Raw genomic sequence first — 19,665 nt, 5'->3', positions numbered from 1 at the left:
CTGAACTGTGTGTGTGTGTGTGTGTTGTGTATGTGGTATTTGTAGGTATTATGTGGTGTGTGTGCTGTATTTGTAATGTGCCAGGTATGTATGTGGGGGGTTTGTTTTTGTGGGGTGTGTGTATTGTGTGGTGTGTGTGGTGTATGTGTGTGTATGTGGTATGTGTATGGTATGTGGTGCGTTTGTGTGTTGTGTGTGCTGTGTGGTGTGCGTGTGTTGTGTGTGCTGCGTGCTGTGTGGTGTGTTTGGGTGTGCTTGGTGTATCTGTGGTATATGGGTTGGTGTGTAGGGCGTGTGTGTGGTGTGGGGGAGGTGGGAAGGAACATGGTGGAAGGTGACAGTTGGATCAGACTGTGAGGGAGAAGATGCTAGGGACTTTGAACTTCACCCTGGGGTTAATGGGGAGCCACTGAGGGGCACAGAGTAGCAGAGGGGCACTGTCAGATGTGTGTTGTGAAGATCCCTCTGGGGGCTGTGGAGTGAATGGAGGGGAGGAGGCCTGATAAGATGCAGGGATCAGTTTGGAGGCCCTGTTCACAGCTGAAGTAAGACATGTAAAGGAACTGGCCGTGGCAGTGAGTCAGGGCTACCAGGGGTAATGATAATGATAATAATAATAATAATAATAATAATAATAATAACAGTTACAATAACTGCTGACAGCACTCCCATGAGCCAGACCTTTTCCTGGCACTTTATACTTATTAACTCATTTAATCCTCACAATAACCCTAAGGGGTAGGTTGTGTTATTATCCCCATTTTACTTGTCCAGGGCCACATAGCTGGTAAGTGGCAGATCAGGGATTTATTTTCAGTTGGCTTCAAAATCTTTAACCGTGACACTCAGAAGCCTCAAGGCCTGTAGTCAGGACATGGCAAGGAAGAGAATGTTGGGCTGAGTTGGGCTTAGGATGGTGGGCTAAGAGGCACAAGTTCAATGCCAAGGCCCTGGCTGAGACTGGAGTTACCAGGGCATCGGGGGCAGATCTGGAGGAACAGACCCAGGCAGTGAGCTTGAAGCTGCTCTCTAAAGGAGGAGAGGGCCCAGGGAAGAGGGGGCCATGGAGGCCGCCATAGGGTCAGCCTCCTCTCCCCTCTCTGTCCCCTGTCCCATCACCCTGCAGGGATTACCTGAGTGTCTTCCCAGCCTGGTCCTCTCTGGAGAAGTGAATCCGGAAGCTCTGCTCAGAGCCCAGGCTGCAGAGAGAAGGGCCTGGGGAAGCACGGTGCCCAGACATGCCAGCTTCCTAGGCACCTAGGGCACCCACAGGGCACAGAGAGGGAAGCGGGGCTGCACCCACAAGGACAAGGGAGGATGGAGGCCTCAGAACCAGAGGAGACCCCCAAACTCATTCTGTGAGCATGGCAATACCTGGCCTTCCCACCCCATGGCCTCCATGGTCCCCATGGCACCCGGGCATCAGGGGATAGAAATTATGATCCCATGCCCAGGAAACCCTGAGATTCAGAGAAAGGCAGAGGTTGCTCCAAGCCACCCAGATGGAAGGCCACAAAGTGTGGGTGCCTTGCTTCTCCCATCATCAGCCAGGGGCACCTGTTGGCCAGCAGAAAGGGGCTTTTCGGGGACCAACATCCCCTTACTTCACTGAGGCCTCCCGGACACGTGGGCAGGAGGGCAGTGTCTCCAGCAGGTACAGGGCACTTTCCTGAGAAATGCTGTTGTGACTCAGACTAGAAGGGAAATGGAGATGAGAATGGGAGTGAGGGCAGGACCTCCTTGGAGCCCTGCCCAGCCCCCTCCATCTCCCTTCCAGCTGTCATTTCCAAGAAGAGAAGCCTCCATGTCTAAGCATCTATTCTCCAGATGGACACACTGAGGCCCAGAAGGATACCATCCCCACACAGGCAGAACTGGCACCAGACCCTGAGTCCTTGAGCGCTGCACTCACCCTGCCCGCTGCCCCTGTGGTCTGGGGTCTGGGCACTGGCAAGGCCAGGCTGGCAGCTCTAGCCCCGCATGGGTCAAGGACTCCCGAGCACGAAGCTCAGTTGCCTAGCAACAAGTGGTGTCCTGGAGCTGGCTGTCACTCCAGCAGGTCACGGGAGAGATGGGGCAACCATGTGGATGACTTCCTAAGGCCCCTTGCCTGCCACAGGGACATCTCCACATTTATGTTCCACAGATTGGGTCAGAAGAATTTCAGGGACGGGATGGACCAGGAGCCAGGCAGCTGCAATCCCGCATCAGCTGGTTGGGGATGGAATGTTGCTTCCCTGTCCCCAGGTCAGTTTGGCTGTAGGGGTGTGTCACCCTGCCACGAATCACAGCCTCTCTTGGGTGTTTGGTGGAGGATCTGCCCATGGTGGGTGTGAGGGACAGAGGAAAGGACCCAAGGCCAGGGGAGTGAAGGCAAGGGAAGAATTGCCCCTTGCCCTCCACAGTCCTTGTCCTCTGGTGCTCTGGGGGATGCCCTCAGAAGGAGCCCCCATCATGCTTTTGGCCTAGGGGAGCCTTCCTCCTTGCTATCTGTCCTTTATGCTGCTTTCCACTTACTCAAGCAAACCGGAGATGGGCACCTGCGGCAGACATTCCAGAAGGCATCTGAGTCCGCTGTCGCCCAGCAGGTTTGCTGAGAGACTGTAGGGGGTAAGGAGCAGTGGCGGGGATCAGAGGTGCCTCCTCAGCCTGAGATGCTCCTCAGTCACCAGGAGCCTGCATCCACTGTCACTGCTACTGGACCCCATGTCAGGGTCACCAGCGCCACCACCATCACCACCATCACCAGTATCACCACCATCACCACCACCACCAATGTCACCACCACCAGTATTACCACCATCACCACCACCACTTTCATTATCACCACAATTCTACACCACCAAGCCCAGTACCACCATCACCATCCCTTCCATCACCACTAGAATGACCAGCAACTCCTACGTTCTCTGCTACTATCCCCTCCCCAGCACCACAGTAAACCCATCCTCTTGGTCCTCTTCCATATCGGGTGACCACTCATAGCTCAGGTGCCTCCAGCAGGCTTTCAAGGGTTAAAGAAAAACCAATTTGCCTTCACCACGCCCTTGGCCGGCATCATTTGGGATCCACAGTTTTTGAATGAGAGGAAATTCAGGAAAAAAAAATGTTTGCAGGATGCATTAAACCCATAGATTTCTTCTTTTAATCTGGGAATGCAATATCAATATTGGAAACCTCACCTGAAGTTTCTTACTTCCCTTCATTGCAGCATTCTGTGGTTTTATTTATTTATTTATTTTGAGATGGAGTCTTGCTCTGTTGCCCAGGCTGGAGTGCAATGGCACGATCTTGGCTCACTGCGACCTCTGTCTCCCAGGTTCAAGAGATTCTCCTGCCTCAGCCTCCCAAGTAGCTGGGATTACAGGCATGTGCCACTATGCCTGGCTAATTATTTTTGTATTTTTAGTAGAGACGGGTTTTCACCATGTTGATCAGGCTGGTCTCAAACTCCTGACCTCAGGTGATCCACCCGCTTTGGCCTCCCAAAGTGCTGGGATTACAGGCGTGAGCCACCACGCCCAGCTAGTTTTAACTACAGTTTCAGAAATAATATAACCAGTGTGTCCCGGAACATCTGATTTTCCTCCTAGGTCTGTGACATTTTTGATGTTTGTTAATTTCATCTTTTCCTGAGAAACGTCATTTAAAAATTGGTCTGTCTTATGAAGCCACTTAATAAAATAGTCTTTAAAATAAGAAAAATTGGCTGGGTGCGGTGGCTCAAGGCTGTAATCCCAGCACTTTGGGAGGGCGAGGCAGGCGGATCGCCTGAGGTCAGGAGTTCAAGACCAGCCTGGCCAACATGGTGAAACCCCGTCTCTACTAAAAATACCAAAATTAGCCAGGCATGGTGGCTCATGCCTGTAATCTCAGCTCCTTGGGAGGCTGAGGCAGGAGAATTGCTTGAACCTGGGAGGCGGAAGTTGCAGTGAGCCGAAATTGCGCCACTGCATTCCAGCCTGGGCAGCAGAGAAAGACTCCATCTAAAAAAAAAGAAAGAAAGAAAAGAAAAATTTCCCTCTATAATGAAAAACAAAAAACTCAAAGACATATTTCTTATTCATATCTGTTTAAAATACATTCCAAGCACAGCGGCTCATGCCTGTAATCTCAGCAACCTGGGAGGCTGAGGATCACCTGAGCTCAGAAGTTTGAGACCAACCTGGGGAACATGGTGAGACTTCATCTCTTACAAAACTAAACTATTAGCCAGGCATGTTGGTGTGTGCCTGTAGTCCCAGCTACTCCAGAGGCTGAGGTGGGAGGATCGCTTGAGCCCAGGAGTTGGAGGCTGCAGTGACCTATCATTGCACCACTGCACTCCAGCCTGGGCAACAGAGTGAGACCCCAGGTCTTAAAAAAAAAAGAAATCCATGATTTTATCAGTCACATTTTTCTTCTCTGCCACATCACAACAGAAATGAAAATTGTGTGGCATTTTTGGCGGACTGCTCTCTCTATTTCCCACTGGTCCTAGGCTGGATTCCCAATGCGTCTGAGCAGGGACTCTGCATTTTACTAGCTGTGTGACCTTGGGCAAGTTCTTACACCCTCTGTGTCTCAGTTCCCTCATCTGTAAAATGAGAACAATACTAGTATCCAGGGATATGGGAAACATAAAAAGAACATGTCAAGCACTTAGAACAGTGGAGAAAGTGCTCAGTAGCTGTTAGCTATTATTATTCCACCCATGCAGGGGCTGACTATTTGAATATCCAAGACAGGCCACGCAGATACCACATCTCAACAATACAAGAGACTGCAAGACCCCACCCTGGCTGGCTCTGCGTCCCTCCTCAGGCAGAGTCATCCGGTACTTTTAACCACCTGCTGGGCCAACAATGAATCCTGCGTTTTAGCCCCCATCTGCCAGCAGAGCTTGCACATACTTGAGGCTGAGGGCTGCCCAAGTCAGAGGGCACACCATGGAACTAGCTCCACCATGGCGAGAGTGGGGGCGGGAGAGAGAAAATTGATTCAGGGAAGCTTTGGGTATGTGACCCAGGCATCCCTGACAGCTGGTCCTGAGAGGTGTAGGCAGGCACACATGAGTGTATGTGCACACACGGACCCTCATACCCCCTTCAGTGCCCCTCAGGCATGCGTCCATGCTCCTCTCCTTCCTCCTCCTCCCTCAACTTACTCCACCTGGCTGAGGTCTTTACACTTGCTCAGCAACCAGCAGAGTGACTCTACGTGCTCCTGGCTGAGGCTGCAGCCTGTGAACCTGCTGGACGGAGGTAAAGGGGACAAGCAGGGGATGGGGCGTTTGGCCACTGAGACCCCCTCCGGCCTGGCTAGCCCAGGGCACAGCCTCTGGGCTCCAGGTGGGTCTCCACTCAAGCTTGGACCCTCTGGAAGTGTCCAGAATCCACTGCTCCCACCCCCACAGTAGATCCCACCCGGACCTGTGTTTCTTCATGCTGGGTGAAACAAGTCCCTCTGCAGGGTTGTTCCAGGGGAATGTTTTGTGGTAGGCAGTCTGCATACTGCTCTGGCCACCCAGGAGGCAGATCTACTGGTCCCCAACATCAACTAGCTGCCTAGGCATGGTTCAAGGGGGCTTACCCACAGCACACGCCTTCCTCCTCCTCGTTGGATCTGAAGTGCAAAGTTGCATGGTGCAGGGACCTGGATCAGACAGGACCTGGGTCAGACAGCTGTGGCCACAGCCTCAGGATGCCCCCACGGGGCCAGCACCCCTCCTCCGGAAGCCCAGCCTCTAGTTGGGTCCTACTGTCTTCATCCTACCCCCTCATACCCACCAGACTCCAGGCACAACCCTTCAGGACGAGTCCTGGCTGTCCCAGGGGAATGCCCACCTGAGATCCACCTTTTTAACCCGTGGACACAGGCTTAAGGTGTTGGCCAGCAGGAAGGGGCTTTTCGGGGACAGTCCCGTCTGGCTCAGCCTGAAAAGGAAAGGGGGTAGATCCGGCAAGATGAGTGGACAAGGAACCTGGCTAGCCTGGAGGGTAAGGAAAGGGAGGGTGGGGAGGGCTAGCAGCTCAGCAAGGCAATAGGGAAGCAGGCAGGGGATCAAGAGGCACAAATAGGGCTGAGGGACAGGCAGATTTGGATTTGAGTCCCAGTTCTGCTTATTGGCTGTGTGACCTTGGAGAAGTGACTTCACCTCTCTGAGCTTCAGTTTCCTTATCTGGAAATCAAGACTCGTCATGTATGACTCTCGAGGTATATGAGGATTTAATTACATCATGCAGGTGCACTGCCGGGCATGGGACCTGTGCTTGCTGTTATTATTACTATTGTTTTTACCTGCAAGCACAGATTTCACAGGCGAGTCCTTGCTCACAGAGAGTGGGAAGCTTCAGGCCCTTCAGACACAGTTTTTAAACCTTAGCACTATTGAGATGTGAGGTCCAATAATTCTTTGTTGTGGGCTCTCCTGTGCCCTATAGGATGTTCAGCAGCATCCCAGATCTCTATTCATTCGATGCCAGTAGCAGCACCCCTCACCCGCAGTCATGACCACCAAAAATATCTCCAGATATTTCCAAATGACTCCCAAGGGTGAAAATCACCCCCAGTTGGAAACCACTGCCTTAGAGAAAGTGAGATGGGTCCACTCTGCCCTCAGAGGCAGCCTCAGCACCTCCATTTGCCTCATCCAGTAATCCCCCTATCAGCTTGTCTGTAAATTCCACTCTCAAGATCCACCCTGAGTCTACCAACTTCTATCCCACCCCAGCAGTGATCAGCCCCCAGCACCCTTCACCCTGCTGCACACATCTCTTCCCACTCTCATTTCCACTCGTATCTCCCAATCCATTCTCTACCCAGCACTCAGTCTGAACTTTTGAAAACCCAAATGAGGAACGGGTGCAGTGGCTCCTGCCTGTAATCTCAGTACTTTGGGAAGCCGAGGCGGGCGGATCACTTGAGGTCGGGAGTTTGAGACCAGCATGGTCAACATGGTTAAACTCTGTCTCTACTAAAAATACAAAAATTAGCTGGGCATGATGGTGCACGCCTGTAATCCCAGCTACTTGGGAGGCTGAGGCACAAGAATTGCCTGAACCTGGGAGGCGGAGGTTGCAGTGAGCCGAGATTGCGCCATTGCACTCCAGCCTGTGTGACAGAGCGAGACCCTCCCCCACAAAAAAGAAAGAAAGAAAACCCAAATTATTCCTCTCCCTTTCATGTTCCCAGGAACAAAAGTCTAAACTCTCCCCATGGGTGCCAGGCCCCATGCAACCCAACCCGAGCCCATCTCTCTCTTCCTCCTCTCCTAGGACTGTCCCTGCCAGTCACTGTGCTCTGGCTGTCTCGGTTCCGCGCTGTTCCTGGAGCCCACCAAGCTTAATCATGCCTCAGGGCCTCACACATGCCGTTCCCTCTGCCTGGAATGCAGTTCCCTGCTCTTCACAAGGCGAGCTCTCTCTCTTCCTTTAGGTCCCAGCTCAGCATCCCTCCTCAGAGATGTTCCCTGATGGCTTCTGCCACATCTAAATCACCTCTCCAGCCACTCTTCACCACATCCCGAGAAAATTCTCTTATCACTGGCTAAGTTCATCTTATTTGATTTTACTTTACTTATTTTTCAGCTCCCACTATTGTAAGAGGAGCTCCAAGAAGATAAGGACATGGTCAACTTTTTCTGCTGTGTCGTCACACAATGCCTGGCCCACAGTAGGGCCACAAGCACTACACGTTGAGTACTACAAAGTTTAAACCCTGGCAAGGGGTCAGGCTGGCCACGCCACTCCAAAGGCGGACGAGGAGTCAGGGGTGAAGCTGTGTGATTTAGGCAAAGAGAAGTTCCTCTCCGGTCTGAGGTTTCCAACCTGTTCAATTTTAACCTGCCACCTTTTATGTCCAAAGGAGTCCTTTCTGACTCATTATCTCCGGGCAGGGTGGGACTATTACAGGGTGCCATGGGGTGCTGTGAGCTGGGCTGTACTTGCCCCTGGAATGTTGTCACGTCTCCTCCCTCCCTCCCAGATAAAACCCAAGCATAAGCGAGATCCTGGAGGTGATGCGAGCCATCTTAGACATCCCAGAGAGCCCCAGCCTTTGCACCGATGTTATTAACATTATGATTTACTTTCCTGCTGTATTTTTTCATCTTAGCTGCAGCTGCTTCCCACCCCGCCTCCCACCACTAGAAGACTGTTTAAAGTAAATCCTTCTAAAATTCTTTCTTTTTCTTTTTTTCTTTTTTTTTTTCTGAGATGGAGTTTCACTCTTGTCGCCCAAGCTGGAGTGCAATGGCGCGATCTCGGCTCACTGCAACCTCCGCCTCCCAAGTTCAAGCAATTCTCCTGCCTCAGCCTCCCAAGTAGCTGGAATTACAGGCACCCACCACCACACCGGGCTAATTTTTGTATTTTTAGTAGAGACGGGGTTTCACCACATTGGCCAGGCTGGTCTCAAACTCCTGACCTCAGGTGATCTGCCCGCCTCGGCCTCCCAAAGTGCCGGGATTACAGGCATGAGCCACCACACATGGCCTAAATACTTTTAAAATTCTAACCAGTCTGAGCTGAAATTAGAAAATAGTTTTAATACTTTGGGGGAATTCTGCTTAAATTCCCTTTTTGCGAGTTTGACGGTGACCTTTAAAAAGCAGCATGTGATAAGTACAGGACCTACATCTGTACAGCCCCTTTCTACGAGTGGGTGACCCTCCGTGGGTGGGGAGAAGTTGGACAGCTCATTTGTCACAGATCTTCCATTTCTTAAGGTGATTTTAGAATAACTTATTTGAGTCCCAACTCTGGGGGAATGGGCGGGGAATATTAATCCCATTTGTCAGATGAGGAAACTGAGACGCAGAGGAGGCAAACGACGCCCCCTGAGGTTGACAAAGTATTAGGGTGGAGCTGGAAGCAGATTGGAGTCCCCAGTTGTGCCAGGTAAAATGATAAAACAACCTAAGGAAAGAATGGAGCGGGTAGAGGGGGTTGGAGGGGGTAAAGGCGGGGGGTTGAGGGGTTAGAGGGCAGGTACAGCTTTGCCATGGAGGAGCCTTAGAAACACGAGCACAAGGAACCGGGAAATAGGAAAAACTCTCGTCTTACTGCAGCAGGCTCAGCTGAGGGAGTTGAGGTAAGCAGTCCAGTAGAGTCTCCAGGCTCTGGTCACTCAGGAACTCACAGGACAATCTGTGAAACAAAGCAGGTGGATGAGGTGGGGGAAACCTTCCAGGAAAGCAGGGAGCACGGCCTCATAGCCAGAGCCTTCTGGAGATGGGACCTAACCAGGGTCACCTGAAACATTCCCTCCCAGCACTGGGTCCATGGGTTATCCGTGAGGCTGGAAGAAGAGGAAGGTCTTTTAAGTTTGGGAAATACGGGGTTAAGCCAAATTAAATGGTTTTGTTTGCTGCAGGGCTTCTCTGAGGCTGCGATAGGCTGCTGTGCATTATGAATTTCCAAGGAGCTACAGCAGACTTTTCCCCAAACTAAATGGACTAGCAGAATTAATTTTTAAGGGCCATGAAGGTTAGTGTTCCGCAAAACATGTTTGTTAAGAAAAGAATGCAGCTGGGCATGGTGGCTCATGCCTGTAATCGCAGCACTTTGGGAGGCTGAGGTGGGTGGATCATCTGAGGTCAGGAGTCTGGGACCAGCCTGGGCAACATGGTGAAATTCCACCTCTACTACAAAAAACGAAAAAAAAATTAGCCAGGCGTGGTGGTGCACACCTGTAGTAATAGCTACTCAGGAGGCTGAGGCATGGGAATCACTTGAACCTGGGAGGCAGAGGTTGCAGTGAGCCAAGATCGTACCACTGCACTCCAGCCTGGGTGACAGAGCGAGTCTCTATCTCAAAAAAATAAAAAAGAAAAGAAAACAATGCTGCCTTAACCCAGAGGAGTGGATATGACAGTGGAAATTCAGCATACAACAGGTCAGCGAAGGAGACAGGGACTGGCTTGGGTCTCTAGTTGCCCATTAACACCAGACCAACCAGCTCATCATTGTTCAGATAATTCGTCAGAACCCAGTGCATTTAGGAGAAACTCCAGATACCTGCCTTGCTGTCTCTGCTCTAGATGGAGGACCAGGACAACTCAAGACACTGAGTTCCCTGGGGTTTACCTACAGCCCCTTCCTGGGGGGCCTGGAGCCACTTCCCAACCCCCGCAGACCTCTACTATGTTCTCCTTCTGCCTTCTCCACCTCCCCCTTCCTCTCTTTCTGTTCCTTCATCCTCTGCAGGCTGCCCTCTCCCCTCTCCGGGGCCTCCAAGGGCCTGGCCCATCTCTGCTGCTTTCTCCTCTGGCTGTTTGGAGGGGAGGCATGGAGTACAGGGGCCCTACATCAACTGGCTCAGTGAGCTGGGGGGCAGGGTAGGGCGGGAGGAGCAGCCTCATGTTGGAGCCTCTGCCAGGGCCCAGGCTGGAGGCCCAACTCTACCCTTTCTGCCCCAGGGACTGGGCATGGGCCCCTGAGGCACAGTCAGGACTGGGGCCTTTATTGAGGGTGGTCTTTCCAGAAACACATCCCGTATGGTGTCCCACCAGACCCCCAAATACACCATGGGCTCTGGTTGGCAAAGGAGGTGATTACACCCTCCTTTTTTTTTTTTTTAAAGCAATGGAATCTTTACTCTTTACCACATCCCACATGGTATGCCCATGTGTACACAGGCAAAGTAGACCTGCAGTGCTTGAATTCAGGGAGGGGGGATGGAGCCCCACAATCTATCTTCCCTGGCTTCCCCGGTGGAACCCCGGGGAATCACTGGACTTCAGCATTGAGTACCTTGATGACTATTTATAGCAATAATCCTGCAAGTGATCACAGTACTCTACAGTTGACAAAGTGCTTTCATATTCACTATTGCACTTTCCCCAACCACAGGTAATGGAGGGGGACCTGAAACTCCCACCTGTGCTCAGACCGCCCAGTGCTGCCAGTGGGCTTTATTTATTTATTTATTTATTTATTTATTTATTTATTTGAGACAGAGTCTTGCTCTGTTGCCCAGGCTGGAGGACAGTGGCGCAGTCTTGGCTCACCACAATCTCTGCCTCCCGGGTTCAAGCAAGTCTCCTGCCTGCCTCCAGAGTAGCTGGGATTACAGGGGTGCACCACCATGCCTGGCTAATTTTTGTATTTTTAGTAGAGATGGGGTTTCACTATGTTGGCCAGGCTAGTCTCGAACTCCTGACCTCATGATCCAGCCACCTCGGCCTCCCAAAGTGCTGGGATTATAGGCGTGAGTCACCGTGCCGGGCCGCCAGTGGGCTTTTTATATTAAGCTTCCTCTGCAGATGATTTGCCTTGGCCAGCAGAGCCCGCATCCCAGTCTCCTTGTGTTCCCAGGATCTGGCCCAGTGCATGGTATACAATAGGTACTTAACAGTCAAATCACGTAAGAGTGCTTTTTGTAGCACTGACTGCAGTGCTACACAAAACAAAACACAACACCTAGAAGCAGTTTGGATTTCAATCTAGACCAAGTTGTCCAAGCCACATGGCCTGCTGCATGCAGCCTAGGATGGCTTTGAATACGGCCTAACAAAAATTCGTAAACTTTCTTAAAACACTATGAGATTTTTCTTTGGAGTTTTGTTTTTTTTTTTTAGCACATCAGCTATCGCTAGTGTTAGTGTATTTTATGTGTGGCCCAAGACAATTCTTTTTCTTCTTCCAATGTGGCCCAGGGAAGCCAAAAGATTGGACACCCTTGATCTAGACTCTAGAAGGGTGTGGTGGAGTAACTTGCAGCTCGTCCCGTACTGTGGCAATTTAGTATTAAAAGGCATCAGTATATACTCTGTGAAAACAGGTAAGAGACAATCAGGGACCACTGACCATTGGTTGACTTTAAGGAATTGCCATTAATAGGGTAGGTCTGGGCCAGGTGCAGTGGCTCAAGCCTGTAATCCCAACACTTTGGGAGGCTGAGGAAGGTGGATCACTTGAGGTCAGGAGTTCGAGACCAGCCTGGCCAACATGGTGAAACCCTGCCTCTACTAAAAATACAAAAATTAGCCAGGCATGATGGCGGGCGCCTGTAATCCCAGCTACTCAGGAGGCTGAGGCAGGAGAATTGCTTGAACCCAGGAGGCAGAGGTGGCAGCAAGCCGAGATCACGCCATTGCACTCCAGCCTGGGCAACAAGAGCAAAACTCTGTCTCAGAAAAAAAAAATAGTGTAGGTCTGATAATGGTTTTGTGGTTATATGTTTGAACCTGGAGAAGGACATGGGAAGGCCACACTCCAGGGGGTCAAACCGGATTATCTGGTTGGAAGGGCTGGAAGGGCATTTGAGATGGGGGCTAGAAAGCAAGAAAAAAGACTGAAGCAAAATGGAAAACACAGATGCTATGAAAACACAGTGCATGAAACTAGTTTATGACTGCAAACAGGTAGAAACTGAATATGCAAATAGGCAAGGAGTAGACAGTCCTGTGGACACATGACAACATGGATTTGATGAGAGAAGAGGTTGTTTAGGTGAGGCAGGTTTTGTCTTGGATTTCTTTATTTTAAGGTAATTACTATAATAGAATCACCACAATGACAATAAAAGGAAAGGCTGACCATCCACTGTGCAGATGAAGAAGCTGAGGCCCGGGGAGTTAAATCCCTTTTGAGCCAAGAGTCCTGATTCCAGGTCCAGTCTCTGGTTACAGACCCAGATGTTCTGGGGCGAGTGAGGTGGTAACCCCAAGGAGAGTGGGGGTGCCTTGAGGAAGGGCTTTCAGAAGTGCTACGCTCCAGCCATGCAGGCAGGTTCAAGTGGGTGCCCTGGTGAGGCTCCAGGGGTGGGGTTGGAGGTGGACAGGGCTCCCAGGTGCCCTGAGTTGAGTGGATGGTGCAGGTGAAGGCTTCCCCAGTCCAGCACAGCATCTCCCAGTGGGAGACATGCGCTGCCTAAGGCTGGGGGCTGCCGAGAGACAGCCAAGTTTCTACCAAAGGCCAGGGGACTCTCATGGGGCAGGGCTGGTGGGAAGAAATCGAGAAAGACTCACCTGTCTTCTAACCAAGAAGCCCCCTCCCAGGTCACTGGGCAGATCCCCACATGGTGCCCTCTGGGGCTGTGTCCTCGTTACTTACTGCAGTTCCAGGGGTCCCGGGCAGTCCTTCAGAGTGGCACAGAGGCGGGTGAGGCTTGGGGGCTCCAGAGGACACTCACTGAGGCTGCAAAGGGGCAATGGGCAGGGCAGGGAATCAGAGAAAGCCCAGGGTCCCTGGCTAGCCCCAGGGGCTCTATCCTTCTCCCAGCATCCCTCACTCTAAGTGGGAGGCCACAGGCCCCTTCCCCTGTGGGGCACTCGCTTCCCTCTCGAGTCTCCCCTGCAGCCCCCAATCCTCCTGCCCTGACAGTGACAGTGCAGGACCCTGAGTTCCCAGCTGCCCTTGTCAGTGACTCTCCAAGTCCTCCCCACCGCCCCCTCCAGAGCCCAGGCCACCATCCTCACTCACCTTGACCATTTAACACCCTCTGGGCTTCCACTCTTGCCTCCCTTTAATCCCTCTCTGCCCCACAAGTGTCTCACATTTTAACACTGCACATCTGACCAGGCCTCTCCCTGTTACCCCCGTGGCTCCCCATTGCCCTGGGGCTAACAGTGAAATTGAAATGTCCTTCCCAGGGCCTCACTTGCCTCCACTTCCCTGGAGGCCTAGAGAGAGGTGGGGCCAAGTCAGGGTCTCACAGCCTCTCATGGCAGAGCTTGCAGATGGGGAGTGTATTAGTGGGGAGACAGGCCAACCCCTTTCTTTCTGGAAAGTGGGTGTCCCCCAGAGCAGATGGAGACCCCAGGCAGGGAGTGGCTGAGCTGCTCTGTTTGCTTCACAGAAATGTGGAATCTTCTCTCCAAGGAGAATGCGGGGCATGGGCCAGCTGAGCTGCCCGTCAGGGGCCAGAGCTCCCCAACTCCCAGCACCCCTCACACCCACGCCTCTTTCTTTTCCTTTTCTCTTAAACTCCCTCTCTTCCCTCTATCCCAATCCCCAGCCCTAGCCCCCTGCCAGCTCTGCCCCCTCTGACGCCTCATCCCTATTATGGTTACCCCCAAACAAGAAGGGCTGGGACAGTACCAGAGGCTCCTGGGGATGCAGCGCTGACGGAACCCTAAGAACTTGGCTGCAGCTGGGAAGTCTGGCAAAGATCCAGTGGCCCACATATCCCTAGGAGGGGGATCATTTAGAAAGGAAAGTTCAGATCACCCCCTCGGACTCCCAGCCCAGCCCATATACCCCTAGGAGGGGGATCGTTTAGAAAGGAAAGTTCAGATCACCCACATTGGACTCCCAGACTTGGAAAGTCAGGGCTGGAAGGCATCTCAGAGACAATGCAGTCACTAGATCCTAGCTCAGTCCCTCATTGTTCAGATGGGGAAACTGAGGCTCAGGGAAGGGAAGCCTGAGTTAGAAAAGCCAGCAGCTTGTTCCTGTCCAGGTGAGCAGGCAGGAGGACCCAAGACAGAGCCTCTCTGACCACTGCTTGGCATCACATGACTTCTGCCTCCCTGTACGTCAGTTCTTTGGGCCTCAAGAACCCGGGGGTTCCCCAGAAACAGAGATCCTATCCTGGGAAGCAAGACCACCCAGGCTTGAGCCACCCCTGACTCCTGACAGCCCATCTGTACGGCAGTGCCTTTTCTTGACACACTAGCTGTGACTCTCTCCACCCAGCCAGCTGCACATGGGCCCACCCTGTCCGCTGCCACTGCTCCCAAGTGAGGCCAAGAGGCCTGGTCCCACTAGAGGGCAGCCGGGAACATCATGAAGAGCTAAACTAGTATTGGTTGTTTACTGCGAAGACGGGGAAAATGTTTTTTCAGAGCACCCACGGCCCCTGCCTTCAGAGCGTGAAAGGGCAGTGACATGTATGGAGCGGTGGGTCTACAAAATTCCCCGAAACGCAGAAGCACAAATGTTCTCCTGTCTCCTCCCACACAGCAGCAATCTGCGGGCACCTGCCCTGCTCTGGGACCTCTCCCAACCATATCCCTCCCTTCCTCCCATCTGCATTGCCTCCTTCCAAGGGGAAAACAGGGCAGTTGATTACTGACAATTTATGGGGGGGGCGGTGGTTACTGAAGTGGTGATTAAACCTAGTGTGCCGGACTTGGGTGGTTTAACTGAGAGCTGAGTGGTCAGCATGGGTCTGGGGGTGGGGGGACCTCCAACAGACGGGGACCAGAGCGGGAGGGGACTCCCCCACCCCGAGCGTTCCCTCCTCACCTGCTTGTCTTGTCCCCTCTCAGGAGGATGTGTTGGCTTTCAAAGCTGGAAGCAGAGAGGAAGCAGCAGTTTGAAAATGGTCAAAGACCAACTTCCCTGGCAGTGGCAAGAACCCAGACTGGTCAGGGCAAGGAGGGCCTGGGGTGGCCTGCTTTCTTAGCAAACAAGGAATAGATTAAGCAACAATTACATGTATCAAGTCACATGCAAAGCACACCATCGACATTTCTCATTTGATTCTCACAATAAACAATGAGGTAAGAAATTCTTCTTTGTTGTTGTTTCGAAGAAAGGGTCTTGCTCTGTCGCCCAGGCTGGTGTGCAGTGGTGCAGTCATGGCTCACTGCAGCCTCAACCTTCCCCGGGCTCAACTGATCCTACTGCCTCAGCCTCCCAAGTAGCTGGGACTACAGGAACGCCCCACCATGACTGTCTAATTTTTGTATTTTTTGTAGAGATGGGGTTTTGCCATGTTGAGCAGGCTGGTCTCAAACTCCATGGCTCAAACGATCCTCCTGCCTTAGCCTCCCAAAGTGCTGGAATTACAGATGTGAGCCATTGTGCCTGACATTTTTTTTTCTTTGAGACAGAGTCTTGCTCTGTTGCCCAGGCTGGAGTGCAATGGTGTGATCACAACTCACTGTAGCCTCGATCTCCTGAGTCTAAGCAATCCTCCCACCTCAGCCTCCCAAGTAGGTGCATGCCATCACGCTTGGCTAATTTTTAAAGTTTCTGTAGAGATGGGGGGGTCTCACCATGTTGTCCAGGCTGGTCTCAAACTCCTAGGCTCAGGTGATCCTCCTCCTCCTGTCTTGGCCTCCCAAAGTGCTGGGATTACAGGCTTGAGCCACTGTGCCAGGCCAGTAATTATTCTTATCTCCATTTTACAGATGAGGAAACTGAGGCCTGGAGAGGCTCTGGGACCTGCTCTGAGCTCGCAGCAGTTAAGTAACTGAGCCTGGTCCATCTGCTGTGGCACCTCCCATTCTTGGGGGTCCTTAGGGAAGGGAAAGGGAAGCAGACCTCCCCTGAAAATCATGGATGCGGTGCCCTGAGTGCCTGGGGTGGCTTGGCTGGCTGGTGCCTCCCCTTTTATATTCTCATCAGCTCCCACAATTAAGACAGGTCCCTGAGTCCCCAGTGGCAACTAGGAAGCTCCCAGTTTTCTTTTCTTTTCTTTTTTTTTTTGAGATGGAGTCTCACTCTGTCGCCCAGGCTGGAGTGCAGTGGCACGATCTCAGCTCACTGCAACCTTCGCCTCCTGGGTTCAAGTGATTCTCCTGACTCCTGAGCGGCTGGCACTACAAGGGCTCACAACCACGCCCAGATACTTTTTTTTTTTTTTTTGGTATTTTTAGCAGAGACAGGGTTTCACCCTGTTGGCCAGGCTGTTCTCAAACTCCTGACCTCACGTGATCCGCCCACCTTGGCCTCCCAAAATGCTGGGATTACAGGCGTGAGCCACCGCGCCTGGCCCCCAGTTTTCTTAAAAGTCTCTGCAGCATACCAACATGGCACATGTATACATATGTAACAAACCTGTATGTTGTGCACATGTACCCTAGAACTTAAAGTATAATAATTAAAAAAAAAATCCTAAAAAAAAAAATCTCTAAGGACTATCCAAAGAACGAGTGAGGCAGAGTCAATGAACTCTCTAATGGTGAATTTGGAGAAATTTGAGCATCCGTGAGGCCATACTTATTCATTCATTTGATCATTCATTCATTCAGTGGACGCCCATCACATGCTCTGCAGATCTGGTACTGCCCAAGGTGCTGAGGATGACAGGTTGGCATGAAACTGGTGGACAAGGGGCCCACGTGGGAGCAGATGACCTGTGGGATGGGGGACAGGGGCAGGGCTGGGGGCGGAGAGGCACGCTCACCTGATGTCCAAGCGGAAGAGCCACTGCAGAGTGGAGAAGCACCGAACCAAACCCAACACGGCATCCAGGGACAAACCGTTCTCACTGAGGCTGGAGATCACAGGGGTGGCACAATGGAGGTCACTCAGGACCCAAACACATCCTCTTTGTGGTCAGGGCACAGGGCGGGGGAGGGATCCCTGGTTCCAGATGACGGAACCCACTGAACCCAAGATGGTCAGAGAGCACCCCTTGCAAGTCCTCATGGTGGAGATGGGGAAACAGAGTCCTAGAGAGAATCAAGGTCTAGCCCAAGGTTATGAGACATGTTGGTGACAGAGCTGAGATGGGCACCCAGTGGGTCCCTCGGTCTGTGATGGATCTGAGGAGTGCTTTCTGGCTGGAGCTGGGCCTCCTTTTCTCCACCTGATAAGGGAGGGGTGGTACCCAGGACAAAATGAAAATGCAGGGTCTCTTGTGCAGAAAGCAGGAACAAAGTGTCTCCTTTCTTTCAGGGTCTCCTGTCAACTTGTTATTGTTTTCTATTTACTATTTAATGCTACACTCCCCTCCCACGGGGACACTGGTAGGGCGAGTGTGGACCCTCACAGCACCAGGTCACGAGTCCACACTAATAAGAAGGTCACATGAGGACATACTAAAACCTCCAGTCTTCATGTAATTTGCCTGCAATGGTTAGACCTTCCTTCCTTCCCAGGTGCAGGCCCTGAACAGGAACCAAGGCAACTCCCTTCCTTCCCAGCATTGCACAAAAACAGGGTGTGAGCAGGGGGTCCTTAGGCCCCAGCACTCATTTCAGAGATCGTAGCCACCAACAGAGGCCACGCCTGCAATTTATGTATTTACCGACTGGGAACCAGGGACTCGGAGAGGGGATGTAACTTGCCCAGAATCACACAGCAAAGCGTGTTCACAGAGACAGCCTGGAATATAGGACCTGTGACCTCTCCCCTGGGCTCCTCTGGCTTTGGCCCAGAAGTGCCTGGGAGGAGGGGGTGCTTTGTGAGCCAAAAGCACCAAGGGCATTTAGGGATCAAGAACTCTGGTCCATTGCAGGCAAACTTTGGGGATTCCTCCTACACACTCTCTGCCAGGTACTCAGGGATCCTTGGCAGCCCTGGGCACCCTGCTTGAGTGTCCTCTCTGGTACAAACCCTCCCTGTCTACCCTGACCATACCCCAGCTAACAGCCCCAGCCCCTCCCGGCACCCCAGGGCCAGAATAACAACTGCCAGCCGTTAGTCATACTTCGCACCCACACCTGCCCTCCCCAGGGTGGCCTCAGAAGCCTGTTCAGAGATGCGGAGACAGGTTCCAGAAGTGAAACCTTGAATCAGAAGTGGGATTATTGAGTCACAGACTCTCTGAGTAAGAATCATCTATTAGCTAGCCTTCACCGAGAACTTACATTGTATTAGGGGCAATTTTCATGCATTTTCCGATTTAATCTTTACAATAACCCCAGGAAAGAGGGGGATGGGACAGAGAATGCTCCCCCCCTGCCCCAGCCTCAGAGGCTCTGCCTAGCGGGCTACTCACTTCAAGGACTGCAGAGCTCCCAGCCCTGGGAGCAGCTGAGCCAGCCGGGCTGCACCTTCATCCCCCAGAGCATTGCCTGAGAAGCTGGGGGTGGGGAGAAGGGAGGGGAGAACATTAGCAGGTGGGGAGTGGGTTGCTGGCAGCATGGTCCCTGCATTCCAGTTACTCAACTTCCTGAAACTGGACACAGCCCTGGGCTGCCAGGCCAGATCTCAGCAGATCTGGCACGGGCAGCTGGGGTCTCCCCCAGGTTCTTATTCTGAGGTTCGTGGACCTCTGAGGGACCAGGGGTGAGCCTCCGAGCGTGTCAGACATGGGGGATCTGTATCTTGGGAGGAAGAGTCACAACTTTCACCAGATTCTCCAAGGGGTTTCTGACTTCAGCAGGGAAAGAACAGTTGATCTAAATCTTAAAAACCAAACCCAAACACCAACACTAACTCACTGTAATTGGCCCCACCCACCCACCTTCCAACACACAAACCACTCACTCGAGGTGGAGGTGACCGAGGTGGCAGCTTCCTCCCAGAGCCTTGCAGAGCTGCTCTAGGTGCTTTTCTTGGAGGCCACAATGTGTCAGCCTGCCCAGGGACAAAAACACAGTGCTGCATGCCCCACTGAACAGAGGCGGGAAGGAGCCGCTTTCCCACCCCCCAGACACAGAGGCAGAGAATGAGGCTTGCAGGAGAGGAGGGACTGGGATGTATCTGGCACCTAGACAGACGGACAAAGAGGGACCAACACACACGACACCCACAGGATGTCACATATAGGCAGAGGGTGGGCAGAGACACAGATGGAAGGAAACCAAGGCACAGAGACCTCAGAGAGAGAGAGCAGATCAGAGGAAGACAGATAAGACTGAAATAACAGTTAAATAAACTGATAAAACAGAAATACACGATGAGAGAGGGAAGAAATGAGAGAAACAGGCAGAGGGACAGAGGGAGATTAGGACAGACAAAGACCAAGAGAGAAGGGGGGAAGAGTGCTGATGGGAGCCCCCAGGCCCAGGCACCAGGATCATGACAGAAGGAGCCCAGTGCTCCCCTTCACCTCTTTTCA

The 19,665-nt window shown here is 52.3% G+C and overlaps 1 protein-coding gene across 45 annotated transcripts in view, besides 5 other annotated features; it reads right to left on the bottom strand.

Annotated features, from left to right (window-relative positions):
- The window catches only part of NLRC5 (NLR family CARD domain containing 5), a 93,964-nt gene that overhangs the window by 22,855 nt on the left and 51,444 nt on the right, over positions 1 to 19,665 (bottom strand). For 12 of the 45 annotated variants that reach the window (NR_169514.1, NM_001384950.1, NM_032206.5 and 9 more), the window contains 13 exons: positions 19,092 to 19,181; positions 18,601 to 18,684; positions 17,062 to 17,151; positions 15,174 to 15,218; positions 14,025 to 14,114; positions 13,038 to 13,121; positions 9,045 to 9,128; positions 5,826 to 5,915; positions 5,572 to 5,634; positions 5,147 to 5,233; positions 2,518 to 2,601; positions 1,605 to 1,694; positions 1,134 to 1,199 (listed from right to left, as the gene is read on the bottom strand). Coding sequence is in view for 35 of the 45 variants with exons in the window: in NM_001384950.1 (NP_001371879.1) it covers positions 1,134 to 1,199; positions 1,605 to 1,694; positions 2,518 to 2,601; positions 5,147 to 5,233; positions 5,572 to 5,634; positions 5,826 to 5,915; positions 9,045 to 9,128; positions 13,038 to 13,121; positions 14,025 to 14,114; positions 15,174 to 15,218; positions 17,062 to 17,151; positions 18,601 to 18,684; positions 19,092 to 19,181 (1,047 nt within the window). In the remaining 10 variants the exon portion in view is untranslated. Of the gene's footprint in view, positions 1 to 1,133; positions 1,258 to 1,604; positions 1,695 to 2,517; positions 2,602 to 5,146; positions 5,234 to 5,571; positions 5,635 to 5,825; positions 5,916 to 9,044; positions 9,129 to 12,444; positions 12,924 to 13,037; positions 13,122 to 14,024; positions 14,115 to 15,173; positions 15,270 to 15,928; positions 16,171 to 17,061; positions 17,152 to 18,600; positions 18,685 to 19,091; positions 19,182 to 19,665 lie in introns of those variants that run through there. The other 33 variants (NR_169518.1, NM_001384953.1, NM_001384957.1 and 30 more) reach the window with 13 other exon arrangements.
- Positions 12,655 to 12,744: an enhancer, noted in NCBI's record as "active region_10880". NCBI's record gives its function as "activates an Ori minimal core promoter by ATAC-STARR-seq in GM12878 lymphoblastoid cells {active_cell/tissue: GM12878}" and the evidence as "EXISTENCE:reporter gene assay evidence [ECO:0000049][PMID:35858748]".
- Positions 14,378 to 14,557: an enhancer, noted in NCBI's record as "active region_10879". NCBI's record gives its function as "activates an Ori minimal core promoter by ATAC-STARR-seq in GM12878 lymphoblastoid cells {active_cell/tissue: GM12878}" and the evidence as "EXISTENCE:reporter gene assay evidence [ECO:0000049][PMID:35858748]".
- Positions 14,808 to 14,867: an enhancer, noted in NCBI's record as "active region_10878". NCBI's record gives its function as "activates an Ori minimal core promoter by ATAC-STARR-seq in GM12878 lymphoblastoid cells {active_cell/tissue: GM12878}" and the evidence as "EXISTENCE:reporter gene assay evidence [ECO:0000049][PMID:35858748]".
- Positions 18,414 to 18,513: an enhancer, noted in NCBI's record as "active region_10877". NCBI's record gives its function as "activates an Ori minimal core promoter by ATAC-STARR-seq in GM12878 lymphoblastoid cells {active_cell/tissue: GM12878}" and the evidence as "EXISTENCE:reporter gene assay evidence [ECO:0000049][PMID:35858748]".
- Positions 18,784 to 18,833: an enhancer, noted in NCBI's record as "active region_10876". NCBI's record gives its function as "activates an Ori minimal core promoter by ATAC-STARR-seq in GM12878 lymphoblastoid cells {active_cell/tissue: GM12878}" and the evidence as "EXISTENCE:reporter gene assay evidence [ECO:0000049][PMID:35858748]".

The sequence above is a fragment of the Homo sapiens genome, chromosome 16, assembly GCF_000001405.40.
Source record: "Homo sapiens chromosome 16, GRCh38.p14 Primary Assembly".
In the NCBI taxonomy this organism is placed as follows: Eukaryota; Metazoa; Chordata; class Mammalia; order Primates; family Hominidae; genus Homo; species Homo sapiens.
This window is presented reverse-complemented; position numbering and strand designations above follow the sequence as displayed.